Here is a 20,998-nt window from a genome sequence, read left to right on the forward strand (position 1 = left end):
TTATATACTCAACACTACAAAAAACACTGCTAAACAAAATTAAAGAAGAGCTAAATAAACAGAAAACTATCCCAAGTTTATGGACTGGAAGACTTAATATTGTTAATGTGGAAATATTCCCCAAAATGATCTACATATCCAATCTCTACCAGAATTCCAACTACCTTTTAAAAAAGAAATGTACAAGCTTATCTTCAAATTCACATGGAATTACACGGGACCCAAAATAGCCAAAACAATCTTGAGAAAGAACCACCAAGTTGGAGGACTCGCACTTTCTTATTTCAAAACTTACTACAAAGCTACAGTGATCAAAACAATATGGTACTGACTCCAAGATAGATATACAGACCAATGGAACAGAATCGAGAGTGTGGAAACGAACCTCTCTTCTGTGGTCAGTTGATTTGCAACAGGAGTCTCAAGATCACCTAATGGGTAAAGAATGCATTTTTCAGCAAGTGGTGCTGGAACAAATGGGTACAAAAGAATGAGTTTGGACCCCTACCTCACACCATATACAAAAATAATTCAAAATGGATCAAAGTCCTACATGTAAGAGCTATAACACTCTTAAAAGGAAACACAGGAGTAAATCTCTGTGACTTTGGGTTAGGCAATGGTTTCTCAGGTATGACACCAAGAGCACAAGCAACAGAAGAAAAAATAAATTGAATTTCATCATAATTTAAAACTTTTGTGCATCAAGGTGCATCATCAGGCAATTGAAGAACCACAGATACCACTTCACACCTACTAGAACGCTTATAATTTTTTAAAAAGCAGAGAATATTAAGTGTTAACGAGAATGTGAAGGAGCTGGACCTCTCATATATTGCTGGCCGGAATGTAAAAGGGTGCAGCCAATGTGGAAGACAGTTTGGCTGTTCCTCAAAACGTTCAACATAGAGTTACCATATGACCTGACAATTCCAATCTTAGGTATACGCCCACGAGAAACAAAAACATAGGTCCACATAAAAACTTGTACATGAATCCTCATAGCTGTACTATTTGTAACAGCTAAAAGGTAGAAACAACCCAAATGTCCATCACAGGTGAATGAATAAACAAAATGTGATCAATCCGTACAATGGAATATCGTTTAGCCATACGAGTAATGACGTTTTGATGCATACGACAATATTGAAAAACTTTGAAAACATCATGCTAAGTGAAAGAAGCCAGACACAAAAGGCCAGGTGTTGTATTATTTCATCTATATGAAATGTCCAGGAGAGGCAAATCCAAAGAAATGGTAAGTGGATTAGAGGTTGCCAGGAGCTGGGAGGGGAGGAGGGAATGGGGAGTGGCTGCTTCATGGGTATGGGGTTTCTTTTTGTGGGGATGAAAACATTCTGGAATTAGATAGTGCTGACGTTTACATGACATCGTGGATGTACTAAAAGCCACTGAACTGTCCACTTAAAAATAATTAAAATGGTGAATTTTCTGTTATGGGAATTCTACCTCTAAAACACAAAACAAAGAATTATCAGAGACTCCGTAGTTAAATAAGGCCCAGAGGTAAAAAGAGGCTTGAGATACAAAAGCTGTCATGAGATTCCCAAGAGCCACTGACCTTGCTTCTCCGGGTTGCGGACCTGGGATGGCAGATCTTGGATTTCCAAGGTCCACTGCCCTTCAGCCTTTTCTCCCCAGCAGTGGACAGTCATGAATTCCCAGTTTGTAAACCCTTCATTGGAAAGATCCAGCAACCTGCAATTGGAGGTGTGGTGTCAGAAATGAAGGTGCTGGTACTGAGTGGCTGGGCGGAGGGGCTGGCACAAGCAGGGCTCTCGGGGGACTGTATGACCTGGCTGGACCGTACCCCCAGGGTAGCGGGGGTCTGGCCCCAGCCAACCCGAGGGCAAAGGGCACAGTGAAATGTGATCGTCTTTAAGCTCTTACACAGACTCTCTCCTCCATCACCTCCTTGAACCTCCTTAACATTCTGAGAGGAAGGCAGGCAGGCAGGCAGGTTTCATATAACCCAGTGAAAGATGTTTACAAGCTCTCACCAACAGAAGCCCCCAGTCCCGACAATTTCCTGCAGAAGGTGGCTGGCTCCTTCCCACCCAGCAACAATCTTACAGAGACCATAACTCCAGTGCCCGGATGCACGAAAGCAGACAGGGGCGGGGGTCCCCCTGGGGTACCTTCACCGAAGCCCAGAGAGTGCTCACTAAGGACGCCTTTTGAAAGTGCTTGTTTGTGCAAGAATGAAACTTCCATGTTTGATTTCAAGCCAGCTGTGTGCACTGTTCTCTGGGAGACACAAATAAGGAAAGAGGAGCAGCTACTCAAGCTTGTGGGGAAAGTTCTGTCCCTTCACCTGCAGGGCTGATCCAGTCTCAACAGGGGCATTTGAGGGAGATGACAATGGCAGGGTTGGTTGCTTTTCAGTGGGAATGGGAGGGGCCCGTGGAGAGCGGGGGGAGGAGACAGCTCCCCCACCCCCAGCAGTACCCTCCTTGCAAGTCCTGATGAGCCTCCCTTTACCCTTCCCAACTCGAAGGTCTTTCCCAACTGTACCCTTGAGCCCCTGGGCCTTCTGCCTCACACTTGGTTCAGGCAGAAACAGGAAGCAACTAATCAACATCCAATCTCTTCCTGCACCCAGTGCCATCCTCAGAAGTGACTCTTTCTGTACTGGAATCAATTCCAGGTTTTTTCCTCTTATTCTTTCTTCACAGTCTAATTTTCTATCTCGATTTTGGAATAAACATTTTTTTTAACATAGGCATCTTTATTGTTCATCAGAAATTGAAATACATAAGTTTTGAATGATGTAAGATTCAATTTCCAATCTGGGGGTTCTCTGAACACTCAATGTAGGAAAATGTTTATCTAGGGAACATTCTTTGCAATGGAGAAGAGTGAGGGGGAAGCATCCTGTGCTTTCTTCTAAGAAATGGCAAAGGTCAAGGCTGATTTTCACACTCGATGCCAAGCTGAACCCAACACACTGGGGACAGAACAAGGACAAACTGTCTTTTAAGGGCTGAGGTGCTGAGGCACATCAATGGCTTCTTAGTGAAGAACCTGGCAAACTGATAAAGCTGCTAAATTAAGTAAGATGTGCAGTAGGATAGGAGGTCATTGATCCTAAAACACAAATTCTTGATACAATCACAAAATCTGCCTTGGAAAAAAACCAAAGTCCCAAGACTCAGATGACAGCTGGAGTAGCCTCAGGGTAGTTTTTGTTTGTTTGTTTTTTGTTTTTGAGACAGACTCTCTTTCTGTCACCCAGGCTGGAGTGCAGAGGCGTGACCTCAGCTCACTGCAACCTCCGCCTCCTGGGTTCAAGTGATTCTCTTGCCTCAGCCTCCCAAGTAGCTGGGATCACAGGTGCGTGCCACCACGCCCAGCTAATTTTTGTATTTTTAGTAGAGACAAGAGTTGGCCAGGTTGGTCTCGAACTCCTGACCTCAGGTGATCCACCCACCTTGGCCCCTCAAAGTGCTGGGACTACAGGTGTGAGCCACCCTTCCTGGGCTAGGGTAGTTTTTAAAATGCCTGATGGCGCAAGGACAGCACTACCCAGCCAAGGGGTGGCTCCCAATAGGCCTGGCAGGACCTGCCCTCTATTATCCCAAGGGCACAACACTGGGCAGCAGCAGGAGGAGGAAAGTTTCCAGGGAAGGGAAACAGGGCCCCAGGGGAGCGGGAGAGGGGAGGCTGGGGCAGCGGAAGGTTCTTGTGGGTCAGGTAGCCGGACGTAAGCAGGACACGTAGGGCAACCAGGCCCCTGTGCCAGGGATACATATATTATCACACTCAAGTCTTATAACAGTCCTAATGTTTACAGATAAGTGAAGTGGCATTTTCAGAGATGAGGAATAAAGAGAGGCAAAGGGACTGGCTCCTGGGAGCCCAGCCAGGAGTGGAAGAGCAGGGTGTGGGCCAACTCTCCAGGGTCACTGCCACCCGCCTGCCTGCTACCTGCTGCCCCAGCCTCTCAGCCTCACCACAGGCTCTCCGTCAACCTGGGCCATCACCTGGGCCTGCACCCAGCTCTGGCTCTGAGTCAGGGGTCACAAACCTGGGTGCCACTAGGTGTGCGGCTGGAGTGAACGGAGAGCCCGTTGCTGGCCTCAGGGCTGCCAGCACGGAAAACATGGAGCACATGGACACACACTCGCCCACCTGCTCAGCTCCGGCCCAGTGCACGCAGGAACACGGGGCTGGTGTCAGACAGCTTCCAACTTTCCAAGAAATGCCAGAAATGAGGACTTTTAAAATCTTTAAGGTTAAAAAAATAAAATAAAAAACACCACGGGGAGCAACATAGCATCAAAAGCTGCAGCTCGTCCGCTGACACCGAACTGCTCGTGCCCGTGTGAGACCTCCCACAGGCAGAGGCACAGCACGGCCGGGCCTCCCGGCAGGAGGGAGAGGTGCCCCTGTGACACTCGTGCTATGAAAGGAGAATGTGGGATGGGCTGAGCTTGGTGCCAGGGTCTGCCTCAGGGTTGATTCCAGTGCACCGAGGACAAAGCTGGTGCCGGGCCCGCCACCTGCTGCCACCGCTCCAGCTTGCCTGCTGCAGAGAGACCAGGCTGCTGGGCAGTGCTGTGGGGGGCACAGCACAGGCCCCAATCCTCTGGACAATGGCCCTGTCTACCTTGCATTGCTGCTGAGTCAATTACCCTGTCTCATACAAAGTGGTGGGGAGGGGAAGGGTTAAGCAAAGGGCAACCCCCAACTTCTGCCTGGTTCCATCTGAGAGCCTTCGCTAGCCCCTGTTTCTGAATCTCTGCAGCTCCCTATAGCCTACACAAGGGCCACAGCCTCAGGCAGGTCACCAAAGGAGTCAAGTGGGCCCAGAGTGGGCAAGGGGACCACACCCCAGAAGACAGAGCAGGCCTGGTCCTGGGGGGCTTCCTGCAGATGATGTGGGCACAGTGCCAGTCCTGGTTTTTGAGAGAAGCTGGAAATGCTGATTTGTCCATGAAATTTCTTTACTCTCTCTACCTCTTAGCTAGAAAGAGACAGAAGGTACCAGAATACCCTGGCCCCTCTTAAGTTCCCATAAACACCTTCATTCTAATTACCTGTAAGTCATATATTTGCATCAATGTATTTCCCCTTGTTTCTAAGTTTGTTAAAGAAATGACTCCATAGCCTCCCAAAAAACCATGTGCGAAGCTTTGGAATTCCCAGCCCCTGAGCGCAAGAGAAGTTGGCAGAGAGCAGCCTGGGAGCACCTTCCCCACATACCACCCGAGCCTGTCTGTATTCCCGGGACAGGCCCCTGCTGGTGCAGGTTCTGCAGGGCAGCCCACGACTGGGTGGGAGAGCTGGTGGGGGGACAAACAGTGCTCCCTGTGGTACACATGCTCGATTCAAAAGCCAACTGAATAGGATTAAATGACCTTTAATGCACTTCTAAGCAAAGAAGGCATAGCCAGAATTCCACAAATCCCTCCGCTAAACAACAAAAAACGAAACAACAACTCTTTTGTCACTTCTCTCTGAAAAGGAAAGTTTTCCAGGACCTTTTGGAAGGCAAGGTTTCAGGGAGCAACTTTTAAGGTTTTTGGGGCCTACATGCAAGGGTCTCCAAGAGAAAGGAAGCTGCCAGCAGAACCAGTGGGAGTCCCCAACGCCAGAGGGCCTTGCAGAGACACTGTGGGCCCAAGACTGGACAGAAGCTCTTGTGCAGGGTCAATCTCAGTGAGCCCAGACCCCATCCCCACGCCTGCCTCGCCTTACCTCTTTGCCAGAAGTTGAGACTTGGTTCCCGAGGGAGAAACCAGGTAGATCTGGAGGTCTCCTCGGCGTGGGTGTGAGATGGAGGTGCGAACCACCACGTGCTCCAAGTAGACCACCCGCTGGTCCGAGTGCTCCGCGCAGGCGCTGGTCAGGGCCGTAGTCCGCAGCACCTGCACTAAGGGGATGCTCCTGGGGGAGAAGGGAGGGCTCAGCACTTGGCACCGGAAGCATGAAGTCTCACCCACACAGCCAGGAGCTCCAGCGCCCGTCCACTCTATCCCCACTGCAGCCTCAGGGCCCTGCGGGCCCCGGGGAGCCGCAGCAGCCTCTGACTGCCTCACGTGGATGCTCCACTGTGAACTTTATCACCTGTCCTGAAGACGTTTATGCCTCTGGAATTTGCTTACAGAGATTTGAAAGATGGTTCGGCTGGGCACTGTGGCTCACGCCTCTGATCCCAGCTCTTTGGGAGGCCGAGGCACCGCCTGCTGCCACCGCTCCAACTTGCCTACAGTGGAGAGACCAGGCTGCTGGGCAGTGCTGTGGGGTGCACAGCACAGGCCCCATTCCTCTGGACGATGGCCCTGTCTGCCTTGCATTGCTGCTGAGTCAATTATTTTGTCTTATACAAAGTGGGGGGAGGGGGAGGGCAGATCACAAGGTCAGGAGTTTGAGACCAGCCTGGCCAATACGGTGAAACCCTGTCTACTAAAAATACAAAAATTAGCTGGGCATGGTGGCGGGTGTCTGTAATCCCAGCTACTCGGGAGCCTGAGGCAGGAGAATCTCTTGAACCCAGGAGGTGGAGGTTGCAGCGAGCCGAGGTCGCACCACTGCACTCCAGCCTGGGAGACAGAGCAAGGCTCCAACTCAAAAATAAAATAAAATAAAAGATGGGTTCTTGGGCAGACTTGGGTGAATGTCCCCAGGGATGGGCTCCCTTTGGTGACCAGAAGGCGGCTTCTCCTCGGTGGCATTTGGCCAGCTCGTTTCTCAGTTGCCCTAGTATGACCTCCATGGTGACAGGTACACTAAAAGGCCAGACCTCACCACACTGCAATATGTGCATGTAAGAAACCTGTCCTTGGACCCCCTAAATATATAAAAATAATTAAATGTTTTAACAAACAAACAAATAAAAAATCCCACTACTTTGTTCCGAAGACTAGCATTGAAAATAGAAGTCACAATGCTAAATAACAGCAATCAGCAAACATTTCCCAAGCTGACTGTGCACTGAGCATAAGGCACTGGCCTGAGAATTTCCAAGGATTAACCCATTTAATCCAGAGGGAAATTAAGGACTGTACCCAAGGTGTAGCTAATGCGGGGAGGAGCTGGGATTTGGGGCCCCAGAGCCCACGCCTCTGCCTCCAGGCCTCACTGCCTCCGCCTCCAGGCCTCGCTGCCTCGAATGGAAGCTCGCGTGGACCCACAGTCAAGGACACAGCTCGGAGTTCGGAGGCTGCCCTCTCATGCTGATCGAGGGTGCCAAGCTTGTGTGCTCCCAAATCTCCTGCAGAAAGCAGGGTCCCCTCACTTTCCTGCCCTGTCATGGAAATGGACGATGGTTCCCTTTACAAACTCAGGGCAGCTTTACCATATGGGATGGAGTCTGAGGGTAAAAACAAAGCCTCAATCATTCAAGACTCCTTCCTGCTAGAATTTTCTGACACACTCCCCAGACCAAGCAGACTCCCCAGACCAAGCAGATCCAAAATCTGTACCCCAAGGCTGTTTCTGTGTCCAGGCTGGACCATCCTGCCAATTCCAGGCCATTAGGGTTCATGCCTCTTTGAACTCAGCCCCCGACCCACCCCAGTGATCTGCAGCTGAAGAAACATGGCATTCTTCAGTGCAGACCCACCGCCGCCCAGCAGCACATTAATAACTCCCCACCACACGACCGGTGCTTGGCTTATTACGGGGAGCGCTTTTCCCATTATGCCTGGACTCTCCTCCCGGGAGGCATGAGGCGTTCTGCTCAGAGCCTCTCAGGAGTTACACTGCTTGGCTCTACTGGGCCCTGAGTCATAAAAAACAATCAAAACAGTTATAAACAGTGATGTAATTCCCTCGGAGACTCTGTAAGTATTTGAAAACACGCTTTGCATGCACCATAAATTGATCTAGAGATGCTGACTTCCTTCATTGCCTTCTCCCAAGCTTTACTGCTAGTGTTTACTGGCCAGCAGCCCCCGCTGCGGTAGATGGCGAACACAAGAGAAGGCTCTGGGGAGTTCCAGGACCTGCAGGGCCCATGTGTCTCTCCAGGTGAGTGTCCCCCATCCCCCACCTTCACCCCACACTAAGAATGTAAGGTGGGTACGTTAGGGAGAAGCAAGGTGTGGAGACGGAGAAACGTCTATGCCGGCAGACTTACTCAGTGCTCCCCTGGGGCTTCAAAATGTAGCTCCCAGTCAACCCCAAAAACCAGGAATAACCCTACACTCTCACACTTCAACACCTTTCCAGTGCTGAATAGCAAGATCAAGGGGAAACAGACACAAAAGCCTTAACCAAGTTGAAGACACGGTCCCCACACTCCAACCAATTGCTCATCGGTAGGGGAAGTGATCAATCTGCTCTAGAAATAGACCTGGAATCCTTGTGAAGAAGCTTTAATCCCATTGATAAGGCACAGGGATGAGAGAACGGGAGCAGGGTAATTACAAGTGAAAGACAACCAAGCCCCACCTCTCACCTGCCCCGCCACTCTGAGCCCCACCCACAGAGCGAACACCTAGAAAAAAAAAATCATTTCAGAGTATGAAAGTCTCTTGCATCTGACTTTTTTATTCCTGCTAAGGGACTCCAGCCGCTGCATAAAGAAGGCTGGGTTGGGTGTGATCCTCCGCCAGCCCCGCTGCTGCTGCCTGCAGGGAGGCTGGCTGGGGGCGGGAGCACCCAGCTCCTGCAGGAGTTAATGGCCTCACTTCGTTTGGTTTTCAAAGCCATGCCCTTACCTTCACCTGGGGGCTAGGAGCCCAGCAGCCTCCTGGAACAAGGCTAACTGTAACAATTAGTTTTTATGTGAAAGCTCTTAACTGCTAAATCACTCAGTTACAGGCCACCAGGACTCCTCATTCCTGTAAGTTCTGGGGCAGCGCGGGAGCCCAGGACAGCTACTATAGGAGGGCACGCTGCCACCTTCCTGACATGCAGTTAGCTCCCCACACATTTTACTTCTGTGGTTGCTATTGAAACCATTAACCTAACATCCCCAATTAGAGTGCTTTTATTAAGAAGAGAAATAAAAGAGGAGGCTTCAAAATGTTTCATGATCATTGTGCTCAAATTTTTCTGTATTTCAGATAGAAACTCCAGGAAGAAAATAAGGAAGCCATCTATCAAAAGTCATCACTTTAAAAAATTAACTCCAAGACAGAAAGTAGAACAGTCAATGAAAAAAACAGAAGTGGTTCTCCACCCTACAGTTATTTCTAAGGTAACGCTGAAAATGCAAGTCGACTGCCAAGTAATTTATCTTTCAAGTTAAACAATGTGCAGAGATTATCACTGTCACGTGAATACACCTACATTGTACTTTAATGATGAAAACTGATTTAGAAAGATCTTAAAGTCCCCAAAGTAACTGAAAAGTGTCTTCTGCTATTAACTTCTGAAACTGTGGTCTATGTACATAAAGCCATCTTCCGAGGACGCTAAGGGAGTCCACGGAGTTAAATGATCCCGCAAAACCTGCCTGGAGACCGTGCGTTGTTGAAGCCAGGGAGACGGCCAGACTTGGAAAAGATCTCTAATGACAGCAAATGCCACGTGCCACGCAGCCACATTTCAACGTTAATTACTCTGGTACTTCAGATGTTCTCCATTCATCCCAAATGCTCTCCACCCGCTCCCTTCTCCTGAGGAGGCGAAGGCCCACCAACAGTAGCCACCCTGCTGACTCCCTAGGAACTCCAGACCACAGATATGTTGGCCTCCTCCTATTTTTTTTTCCAATGCATAATACTATCTAATAGCAAAAATAAATATTTTCAAGTAACCGAGTGCCAGGGGAAGCAGGAAGACGGGCCACAGGCTGAAACCCTCCGCCTCAAGCTCTCCACTTTTCCTGTTCTACCTGGGAAGCTACTCCATGTCAGTATTTCTCACTCCCTCCTTGAAGCCCTCTCCCCAGGTTGGCTTCCTGGACCAACCTGGATCCTTGCACAACGCACTTGCTTTGTTCCTCACTGGGCCCATGAATGTTCTAGGGCCATGTTGAGAGACCCTCCAGAATCAGGAGCCAGCAGCATCCTGCCAGCTGCTGTGCTGGCACCTGGCTTGGGGAGGAGAGGCTAAAGAACTGAGGCCCATTACAGCAGAAGGTCATCCAGGAAACCCTTTCACAGACCCGCTAACGGGAGTGAATGGAATGGCAAGAGTTAATTGGGACAGACTTGCTAAATTAAGCAATAGGAAAACAGCAGGTCGGAGGGCACACAGTGCCCGTGTGAAGGTGGCAAGAGGCTTCTAGGTCACTTCTCAGACCTGTGTTCCAGGATGCACGCTCTCAACAAGACTGTCGTTAGGCTCTGAGGTAAGCTGCTTCATTCATCTGTGGGCTTCCTTATTCATATGAGTTCAGACTGAGAATTTTCCTCACATGAAATTACTTTTTTTTTTTTTTTGAGATGGAGTCTCACTCTGTCCGCAGGCTGGAGTGCAGTGGTGCTATCTCAGCTTACGGTAACCTCTGCCTCCCGGGTTCAAGCAATTCTCCCGCCTCAGACTCCTGAGTAGCTGGGACTACAGGCATGCGCCACCATGCCCGGCCAATGTTTGTATTTTTAGTAGAGATGGGGTTTCCCCATGTTGGCCACGCTGGTCTCAAACTCCTGACCTCAGGCGATCCGCCCGCCTCGGCCTCCCAAACTGTTGAGATTACAGGCGTGAGCCACGGCGCCCGGCCAAAATTACTTTTGATGATCAAACCATAGCACATCACTTAGGTGAGAAATAAAATTTAACCTCAAAAAAAAAGCTAATCCAGTACATTAACTTACACAATGCCGTCCACAGTTAATTGGGTCAGAAGGTGCTTTAATATGTCATGCTTAAATTTATAGCACACTTTTTCCTGTACGTTAAATGAGGGGACTGAATTAGCTGGCTTTAAAGATGCCTTCCAATTCTAACAGTCTACAATTCAACCTGAAGGGGAGTAAAAGAGAAAATAAAATATACAGTCAATCCTCATTATTCACATATGCTGTATCTGCATATTCACCTGGTGGCTGACATTTATTTGTATCCCCCAAACTAACACCTGCGGCACTTTGGTGTCATGTGTAGATGTGTGCAGAGTGGTAACATAATGAGTCCCCCAACGAGCACACTCCCAGCTGAGGTCAAACAAGGCAACACCGCCTGTTGGTGCAGCTCTCATGCCATAAATAAGTGTCCATTTCTGGCCAGGTGTGGTGGCTCACGGCTGCAATCCCAGCACTTTGAGAGGCTGAGGTGGGTGAATCACTTGAGGTCAGGAGTTCGAGACCAGCCTGGCCAACATGGTGAAAGCCCGTCTCTACTAAAAATACAAAATTAGCCAGGTGTGATGGCATGTGCCTATCATCCCAACTACTCAGGAGGCTGAGGCAAGACCACTGCTTGAACCTGGGAGGTGGAGGTTGCAGTGAGCCGAGATCGCGCCACTGCACTCCAGCCTGGGTAACAGAGTGAGACTCCATCTCAAATAAAAACAAGTGTCTGTTTCACAGTGTATTTAGTGCCACATTTTTCACATTTTTGTGCTGTTTTTTGTTTTTTAGAGACAGGGTCTCACTCTGTCACCCAGGCTGGGGTGCAGTGGTGCAATCCTAGCTCACTGGAGCCTTGACCTCCTGGGCTCAAGCGATCCTCCCACCTCAGCCTCCCGAGTAGCTAGGACTGTAGGTGCAAACCACCATGCCTGGCTCTGTGCTTTTCTGTTGGTGAATTCACTGTTTGAAATGGCCCCAAGTGCAGTGCTGAAACACTGTCTAGTGTCAAACAGCATGAGAAAGCAGAGACCTGCCTTAAGGAGAAAACACACGGGTAAGACAAGCTTGGTTCCAGCAACGAGCACTAGTGCTGTCCGCTGTGAGTCTAAAGTGAATGAACCAATGATCTATGTTAAATAAGCTGTCTTTAAACCCATACACATAAAGCTCGGTCTATATGGACAGGCTGGCAAAAATGTGACCGGAGGCTCACAGGAACTTAACCCTGTATCTCTCCTAGGAATAACGCTTCAGTGTTCGTGGTGACTTTGTGGAACAGTACCACAAATAGGGAGAATCAACTGTATTCAAATTCCAAATCCTAATTTTAGAAATAAGTAGCCTTTACAATTTGGGGAAAAGAAGTTTGCTTCAAAACTAAGCCAGGAAGGGAAAGGGTTGCAAGAACATAACCAGCTGGTTAAGTTTGCTCGCAGCTACAAGGGGTAGCAGCAGGCAGGAAAAGTGTTGTGGGTCCACTGTGGTTACCCCCAGGGCGGGACTGCACAGCACCCCACAGATCTTCTGAGGACACCCAGGCATGCTCTGTATAACAACAGCCCAAGAGGAGAAACCAGAAGTAAGGGCCTCCTGTGGTACCCAGGTATACACAGAGGTCAGATGCCCTGGAGGGAGAGGCTGGGTAAGGTGAGGAGGGGATGGGAGGGTGGCAGACACCTGCATAGTTCTGAGACAGCCCAAAGAAAACGAGGGCTCTTGGCTTCCTAAAAAGACGTCACATCAGGCTGTGTGCTTGAGCACAGTAGAGCTGGGTTGACCTGTGTCTGATCCGCACGGCACTCCACCAGGCCGCTGGGCTCCTGGCCTCACCAGCTTGCCCAGCTGACCTGCCGCAGATGAGACGCCAGCAGCTGTGCTCTTAGGCACTGGCACCTGGCCAAGGCCGGAGGAAGCTCTGGGCAGCCAGGGTCAGGTACTTTATCATCCCTGGAGGTGGTGCGCCCAGCTAGCTCCTGGCACAGAGGTCACAGAGGTGAGGTCTTCTAACGGGTGGGCAGGTCGCTCTCATTGGCTCAGTACCGCCTGAGCTCCTACCTAGGGGGGCAAGGTGGACTCTGGAGACAAGCAGCCTGCGGGAGCAGCTCAGCCCCACAGCACCCCACCTCTGGGCCTAAGTTCCTAACTCCTTTCTGCCTCCATTTCTTCCTCCATAAAATGAGGATAAAGATAGAACTCCAACCTCACATGTTTATTGGGGATTTTTATATAAAGTGCTTAGAGCAATGCCTGGCACACAGTAAGTGCCTTTATAATCACAATCCATTATCTCTCATCCACAGCCATATGTCTTCATAAATAGAGTTGTTTTAAAATGACCGCCATACGCAGTCTAGTTTCACGAAATTCCAGAAAAGCAGGTGATATGCGGCTAATCCAGAGTTAATTCCTGAACATCTATAAAAAGATTATCTGCTCTACAGATAAGCCTTGATAGTCAAAGCAACACATTGGCTTTTGGGTCTGAAGTGTCTTGTGTGGGTTGTGGGTGTGTGAAGAGTTCATTAAAAGACAGGCCAAGCTAAACTGTAAGCTCTGTCTGGACAGTAACCTTCCAAACCAGCAGAAACTAAAGACGTGCAGGTAAGTTATCGCTTTGTGTTGGTTTAAAAGACCCTGTTGTTGTGAGTGTCCCCAGCACTGAGGTGGGAGTCATGCATATCATACACTGTTTCCCAGAAGCCTGGATTTTCAAAGCAGCGACAGAAGCACTGGCTAGAAAAATCAAGAGTCAAATAGAATATTTAATAGCTGGGCCTCTATTTCATTCGTTGGAATAATACTAAGCTTAATTTTCTTTTTCATTTGAAGAAAAGATATAAAAATATCAACTTTATCTTTCTATTTAATACACACAGATTTTAAAATCATTTTGCACAGGCAGATGCCCCTGGTCATGATCCTATGTACCTTCGTTTAATTGACAAAGGTTCTAAACAGATGGAAACCATTTGTGCCCAGGAGTAGGTCGACGTGCCTCTGGTCTACGGTCTGACGATCACAACAGAGGCCCAGGCACAGCTGGCACTTTCATCCAGTGCTATCCTGGAGGACTCTAGCAAGTCACTCTCTTTTGCTAACAGCAGCTGCCATTCAGTTTAAGTGATTTCCTCTCGCCTCTGCATTTAGCTTTAGCATTTCCTGAAAGCCTATGATGGGCCCTACCCCGTGTGGGCTCCTGGAGAGGTGGCTCAGACATCAATACCTCAGTTCTGGGGCTCAGACTGCTCTAGGGCAGGGTAAACACCAGGCAGTAAAGAGACTGCCCAGCACGATCCCGTGGTACCTTGGAGCAGGGGGCCTGGCTCCTTGATTCTCACCCAGGCCCAGCCCTACCTGAGGTCCCCTCTTCCCTGATGTTCTCTACCCTTCCAGGGACTTCTTCTTATCTTTCGGGTGGATCCATACACAGACAGGCTCAAACCCCCCAGTCCCCAGATGTGCAGTGTCCAGGTGAGAAATGCCAACGTATCACTTGGGGTCCCCTCTTGGCTAGTCCTTTTCACACCATGGATGGCCTTTTTTCAAATGACGGAGCTGCCTCCTGAAGGGGACTGTGTCTGGTGGGTCTGGCATCACCGCCCCAGCTCCTTCCTCTGCAGCCCGCATTGTGCTGTGCTGGTGGCCTTTCCGCGCCTTTGGGCCTGAGCATGACTCGGGCAGGCGGGGCTGTGATGCCAGCCACTGGGGCAGCGTTGGAGACAGCAGCTCCGCAGGGGGACACCATGGGTGACGGGGCACCAGCTCTGTGCAGTCATTCGGGGCCCTGGATGCAATGCTAGTTTGGGAGCACAGGCTGGGTGCACAGGAGGGACATGCAGAAGGGGTAGCCCATTTGACTCTTCCTGTCAGTCACCGCCATGAGGACAGTCTCCCTGAACCATGGCCATATTCCAGCCCACGGCTGGGGGTAGACAGAGGTTTCCTGCCCCTGCCCGTGACCAGAGGGGTGGACGTATGAACACCCCAGCCCCTCTCCCTCAGGACCATGTGTGACGTCACCATAGACCTGACAGGTGTGGACACATGCCCCAGCTAGAGGACTCCCGTGCTTAACATCCAGTGAACACAGCTGTCTGACCTTTGGTCACACCAGGGTAGCATCCTCTCCTGTTCAAGAGAAAAGACAGTCACCATATCCCACGCAGTGCACACGGATGCACACGAGAGGGGTGTATAAAGAGGCATACACACACTCTGTCTTCCCTCTTGCTCTGCTCTTCACCATGGGAAGCAGCTTAGGGCAGGTTCAGGACATTCAGGAAGTCCTAGGATTCCACCATGAGAGGAAGAAATCAGAATGAGGCCAAGAGAGTAGACAGCTGGACCCACAAACGTGCACGGAGAGGGGGCAGTTAGAAGAAGACGGGAAAATGGCTGTGTGGGAACGCTTCCTTTTCATTTTCGGCCACGTGATCCTAGCAGCTGGGAACCCCGATGGGGAAAACTCGCATAGCTGTGGGGATACTCGCGGCTCAGGTGCAGATGACCCCGACCTGCAGGCAGGCTCAGTGGCAGAGCTGGCTGGAGCTCCCTGCCAGGAGGGGAGACCCACAGGTGGACGTGAGGCATGGAACTCTGCTTGGTAACACCCCTCTCTCTGGAGGCCCGTATGTCCTCTGCAACAACCACGTTACAGAGTTAAGCAAGTGATCTGATAAGCAAGTGGTGTGAGACGGTAGGCTGGCTGAATATCCCAGAAAGAGTCTGAAACTGCTAAAGGTAAAGATGACTTTTCTTCAGAAACAGAAGTCTGATTCTTCTCCTCTTGGAGTTTGGAGGGTCCTTACTTTCCTCAAAGGACAGGAACAATGTTACACTGTATGTGACGGCGGGCTCCCTCAACCTGTGCTGTCTAGACTCCGTGTGCTTTCACTTAAAAAACAAAATAAAATAAAAATAAAAACAACCACTCGCCACCTAGGCACCACTCTGCCATCTTAAAACGATTTCTGGCAGGAGAAGAATGCTTCATTCAGGAGCCGCCCTGACGGGGACACGAGCGGAGGCGCCGGGGCAGAGGGCAGCCCCCAGGTCAGGAACCAGACCCAGGAGCCCACCTCCCTCACCTAGCCTCTGAGGGTCCAGGCTGCAGGCGTTTTCCAGCAAAGACAGAGAAGGCAAAACCTCCTTTATCTCAGAGACTCTCCCACGTTGTTTCAAATTTGACAGTCTAAGGCTCCTCAGAGAAACCGACGCCTTAAGAAGTCAAGACTGAGGCTTGTCAGGTGTCTGGCCGACCTGTCGGGGCCTGCAGTGACCACTCAGCGGTCAGTGTGCAATTAGCCACGGGAGAAAAAGGTGATTTTTCAAAAGATCCTTCTGTGGCTATTCATCCAGCTGCTCAGCCAACACACACTCTCTGCACTCCTACCATATGCGAGCCCTCCACCAGACACATTTTTCTCAACTATTTGTGGCAAGAGTGTATTACAAGAGTAGAGGCATATTCAAGGAAGAGCATCTAAAGAGAGTGACCTGTATTTGTTGATAAAGAAATATATCACTTTCAGTCATCACACTGTTTCTTTTTCAAACACGTTTTCCAAAGGGAACAAGTAGTTATGGGAAAAACACACTCCGTTCTGTATCAGATACAAGGCCCAGAGAAACACCGTTCTCCTTAAAAACAGCTGCGATGGCAGAATTGGAATAATCTGATTTCCTCTCCTAGTGGGCTAGGGTTCTTGCTTTCTGATTTACTTTATGGCTGCTTTTTTTTTTTTAAATAAAAATTTTGGCCAGGCACGGTAGCTCACATCTGTAATCCAAGCACTTTGGGAGGCCAAGGCGGGTGGATCACCTGAGGTCAAGAGTTTGAGACCAGCCTGGCCAAGATGGTGAAACCCCATCTCTACTAAAAATACAAAAAAACTAGCTGGGCATGGTGGTGGGTGCCTATAATCCCAGCTACTCGGGAGGCTGAGGCAGGAAGATGGCTTGAACTCAGGAGGCAGAGGTTGCAGTGAGCCGGGATCATGCCACTGCACTCCAGCCTGGGCAACAAGAGCAAAACTCGGTCTCAATCAATCAATCAATCAATCAATGAACAAATATAACAGATTTAGAAACACTTACTCCAAAGAGCAGTTCCGGGTGTGCCCTGCTCACGGGAGAGAGATGAAGCCAGGGCCCTTCTGCTCGAGCCTTGTTAAAAAAATCCCAGCGCTTAAGCCTTAAGAAGGTTGTACGGAGCCAGATAAAAGCCACACAAAGCTGCTATGCTCTGTGAATAATAAGCAGTACCCCACAACCTGCAACAGAGAAGAGGCTGACCCAGCTGCTCCTGCTCAGGCCTGGTGGATTCACACTGCAGACTCCCAGGGCCAGTTAGGCTGGGCTGGGGCTACAGCTCCAATCTCTAGCCGGTGGTGACAGAAAGGACACCTGCAGCTACTCCCCATTTCACTTTCTGGGAGGAGCAGATTCCTGACTTGGGCTGACATGCTAAACACGGGTAAGAATTTCCAATACTAGGCTGAGTGGTTCAGGCTGAGGAACTGATCCCCTATCGTGGAGCAATCTGCTACAAAAGGGGAAGAGGCCTCAAAACAGTGGTGGCTTAAGAAGTGATTCCTTTCCCAGCTGTACAATCCACAAGAGAAAACGCAGACGTGTGCAGGCATGCATCGTGCACACGCACATGTGCACAGAATGCATGTGTGAACACCTCCCCCAGCCACACCTTACAACAGAGTCAGCTCCAAACCCACGTGCCTGAGAAGTCACCGATGCCACAGCAGAGCCTTACCTGGGTCTCTTGTCCGAGGCGGCCACACACATGTGCTGCGATGGCACTGCTGTCCACTTCTTTGCCTCCACAACGAGAGCTTCTGCGTCCACCAAACCAAATCCATAGAAATGGCTAACTGAAAAGACAGGCCCTTCAGAGCCAGGCTCTCCTGCCTCTCCCAGGAAGGGAGCAAGGCTGGCTCTTGCATCTGCCGGGCCCCATGGAGGACAGAGGGACCGTAAGACTCGAGGTCTCCTGGGGGCCCCAGGCTGCAGGACGGGTCCCCCTGAGGGCTGCTCAAAGGTCCCAGCTGCCTCACTCTCTCTGAACCCAACTCCTTCTGCTAAATTTAGGAGTGTGGGTCAGGAAACACGTCCCGCTTTGGTACAGAGTAGAAGTGCTGAGAAGGTCTAGGAGTTTCTTTTTTTGAGACAAAGACAGGTTCCTTTACATTAAAAGGGCTTGTCAGCATCTATGCTCCCTGAATCTAAGACCAGACAAGAGAAACAAAATCTGAGACCTCTCAGTTCACACAATTACCACGTGCCCGAAATGCAATAACACAAGGCTGTACTCATCTTTTTTGCCATTTTCTTTCCCTGCTGAGTTCCCAGAGCATTCCGGGAAAACAGCACAGCACAGAGACAGGCTTGCGAACTGGCCCGGTCCAGTATTTAATTTGGCCAGGGCAGGAGACTTTCAAAGTTTAATTTAAGAGGCAAGGTCAAGAACTGCATACAATCTATTCTCCTATTTAATTAGGCCAGAATTAAAATGTGGGTCAGCTCTTGTTACAGTACACCACTACCACCGACATTCCTGCAAAACAAAGATGAACTAGCCCAATCGATGGCCTCCTTATTAAAAGGAATGTCCCTCGGCACTTAGGGTAACTATGCTTGACCTATATTTTACAGATAGTAGTATCAGACTTAGTGTCAAATTAGTTAGACCTGAGCTTCAGAAAAGGTTAAAAAAAAATTCCTCCCTAACATAAATACTACGGCCAAATGAAATATTTTTCAGTATACCTGATAAGAAGTCAGGCAAACAGGTCGGGCACAGTGGCTCACACCTGTAATCCCAGCACTTTGGGAGGCCAAGGCAGGTGGATCACAAGGTCAGGAGTTCGAGACCAGCCTGGGCAACACGGTGAAACCCCGTCTCCACTAAAAATACAAAAATTAGCTGGGCGTGGTAGCAGGCACCTGTAATCCCAGCTACTCGGGAGGGATTATTTGAAGGAAAATCGTTTGAACGCAGGAGGCAAAGGTTGCAGTGAGCCGAGATCGTGCCATTGCACTCCAGCTTGGGCAACAAGACGAGACTCTGTCTCAAAAAAAAAAAAAAAAAAAAAAAGAAGTCAGGCAAACAAAGCCAGTAGCACTGTCCTAAAATTACCTGCTTCAAAGGCCGCCAACAGCCAGCCTAACGAAGCCCTGACCCTGGGTTGATTTCATGGTACCTAGGTCTGTACCAGGCTGGGCTGAGGGTAGAGGCCCCACTGTCCTATGATTTACTTTTATAACACAGGGACTGGCCAAAAGAAGTTTTACAGTTAGAAAGTAACTTACAAAACTATCTCAATGTCCTCATTGTACAGATGAGGAAACTGAAGGCAAGTTTCAAAATCACAGAGCTACTCAGGGCTAAGGATGCAAGCTGCCCTCAGGTGGCACACAAACAACATTTATTTTAATAATTATGGATTTGTTTTAATGCACATTAGAAAAAATACGTAACTACATATCAAACCTATGATTAACTAGATGTAGTACAGTTTCCTTTTAAAATACATTTTTTTATGTCAAAAAAAAGTAGTGGGGGAAGTAATTTTTTTTTTAAGAGATGGAGTCCTGCTGTGTTGTCCAGGCTAGACTCAAATTCCTGGGCTCAAGCAATCCTCCTGCCTCAACTTCCCTAGTAGCTGCGACTATAGGCACACGTCATTGCTCCTGGCTTAAAGAGAACTATGAGTAAATATTGGTATAGGTGGTGTCTCGGTGTGGCCAAAGTTATAGAGTATAGGAGACCCCAGACTCTTGTGACCTGAGGGTTCTTCCGTAATGTCACTGTGAGCTTCCGGGATACTTTTCTTAAATAGCTGCACATGCGTTTTAAATTCTTGTGACACACAATTAATAATAACAACTAATGCTATTTGGAGAGTCCTTTTAAGGAATTCATGACACCCCTTCCTACACATTCCAGGGCCACCCAATGGTCCACCAGAACGCCACTGCCGCACCTTTATGACCCGCGCCGTTCACTTTCCAGTCGCTCGCTTTCAGGTGGGCCGGCCGGGATGTCTTCACTAGCAGGTGCTGGACGTCCCTCCAGGTTAACTGGCTGCTGCAATGACACAACACACCCTAGAGTCCACACAGCTCAACAACGGCAGCCACACAGGCCACTCAGAGGCAGGGGGTCGGCAGCCAACCCACGTCTGAACTTCAGCAAGCCCCTCAGGCTAAGGACTGCATTCCTTGGCAAGGGTTTATTTCACCACCTCTTTGTAAACAAGTTTCCGGCAACTAAATCCTGAGGGAAAAAAAGGTTCAATGGGTGACCCAAAATTCATAAGCATTAAAGCCTAGCCTTGCTGCCAAGCTCTGCCTGAGTTTGCCCAGAGCCATATGGGAAATTCTGAAAATACAAGACACTTAACATAATAGTAAATGTTTATTAAATACTTGGGGTTATTCTTCATCCTAAGCAAATACAACAGTGCATAAGAGTACATTCAAACCACGATTGGCCGAGATTCCATCCTGTGTGGACCCACTGGCTGTAGATTATAATTCAAGATTTTATATATGATTCTAAATTTGCAAAATATTCTTTTTGGGGAAGTAGAAACATTTCATCAAAAGAATACAACATGCCACTAATGTAACTAAATACACAGATGATTTTTTAAAATTTCTAAGACACATTTGCTCACCCCTGCTTTTTGTGTGTAAGACAGGGTCTCGCCCTGTTGCCCAGGCTGGAGTGCGGTGGTGTGATCTTGGCTCACTGCAACCCCGACCTCCTGGGCTCAAGCAGTCTTCCTACCTCAGCCTCCCAAGTGGCTAAGACTACAGGTGTGCACCACCACACCCGGCTAATTTTTTACATTTTTTGTAGAGACGAGGTCTTGCTATATTGCCCAGGCTGGTCTTGAATTCCTGGGTTCAAGCAATCCTCCTGCATTGGCTTCCCAAAGTGTTAGGATTACAGGTGTGAGCCACCACACCTGGCCCACCTTTTTCTTTTTTTTAACACCTCTGAAATCCAGATCCATCTTATGATCTGATACCTCTTATAAGCCCCTCTGCCCACAGCAACCAGGAACGGGTTACATTGCCTGGAGGTGCTGAACTTGGTCCTGTCTATTCACAGTGTCATTTCCAGGTCTAAATAACTCTCAGCCTAAAAGAACTCTTCAATAGTTACAAAAATTCTAAGAGATATGGATGCATTGTATAATGGCAGCACTTCTGGTTTCTGTGGTACATAAAAAGGTGCATCTTACAACTTTATGGCATCTTGGATT

At 49.1% G+C, this 20,998-nt stretch overlaps 1 protein-coding gene across 7 annotated transcripts in view, besides 2 other annotated features; it reads right to left on the reverse strand.

Annotated features, from left to right (window-relative positions):
* Positions 1 to 20,998, reverse strand: part of PCSK6 (proprotein convertase subtilisin/kexin type 6) — a 185,775-nt gene that overhangs the window by 60,681 nt on the left and 104,096 nt on the right. For 3 of the 7 annotated variants that reach the window (NM_138319.4, NM_002570.5, NM_138323.3), the window contains exons 10-13: positions 19,709 to 19,812; positions 17,479 to 17,596; positions 5,722 to 5,910; positions 1,583 to 1,719 (exon numbers count right to left, since the gene is read on the reverse strand). In NM_138319.4, the coding sequence (NP_612192.1) occupies positions 1,583 to 1,719; positions 5,722 to 5,910; positions 17,479 to 17,596; positions 19,709 to 19,812 (548 nt within the window). Of the gene's footprint in view, positions 1 to 260; positions 432 to 1,582; positions 1,720 to 5,721; positions 5,911 to 17,478; positions 17,597 to 19,110; positions 19,813 to 20,998 lie in introns of those variants that run through there. The other 4 variants (NM_138324.3, NM_138325.4, NM_001291309.2 and 1 more) reach the window with 4 other exon arrangements.
* Positions 5,649 to 6,150: an enhancer, noted in NCBI's record as "H3K4me1 hESC enhancer chr15:101910467-101910968 (GRCh37/hg19 assembly coordinates)". NCBI's record gives its function as "activates a minimal SCP1, AML or CMV promoter by ChIP-STARR-seq in naive H9 embryonic stem cells {active_cell/tissue: H9 hESC(naive)}" and the evidence as "EXISTENCE:reporter gene assay evidence [ECO:0000049][PMID:30033119]".
* Positions 6,151 to 6,650: an enhancer, noted in NCBI's record as "H3K4me1 hESC enhancer chr15:101910969-101911468 (GRCh37/hg19 assembly coordinates)". NCBI's record gives its function as "activates a minimal SCP1, AML or CMV promoter by ChIP-STARR-seq in naive H9 embryonic stem cells {active_cell/tissue: H9 hESC(naive)}" and the evidence as "EXISTENCE:reporter gene assay evidence [ECO:0000049][PMID:30033119]".

Source organism: Homo sapiens, chromosome 15 (assembly GCF_000001405.40).
Source record: "Homo sapiens chromosome 15, GRCh38.p14 Primary Assembly".
Taxonomy (NCBI): Eukaryota; Metazoa; Chordata; class Mammalia; order Primates; family Hominidae; genus Homo; species Homo sapiens.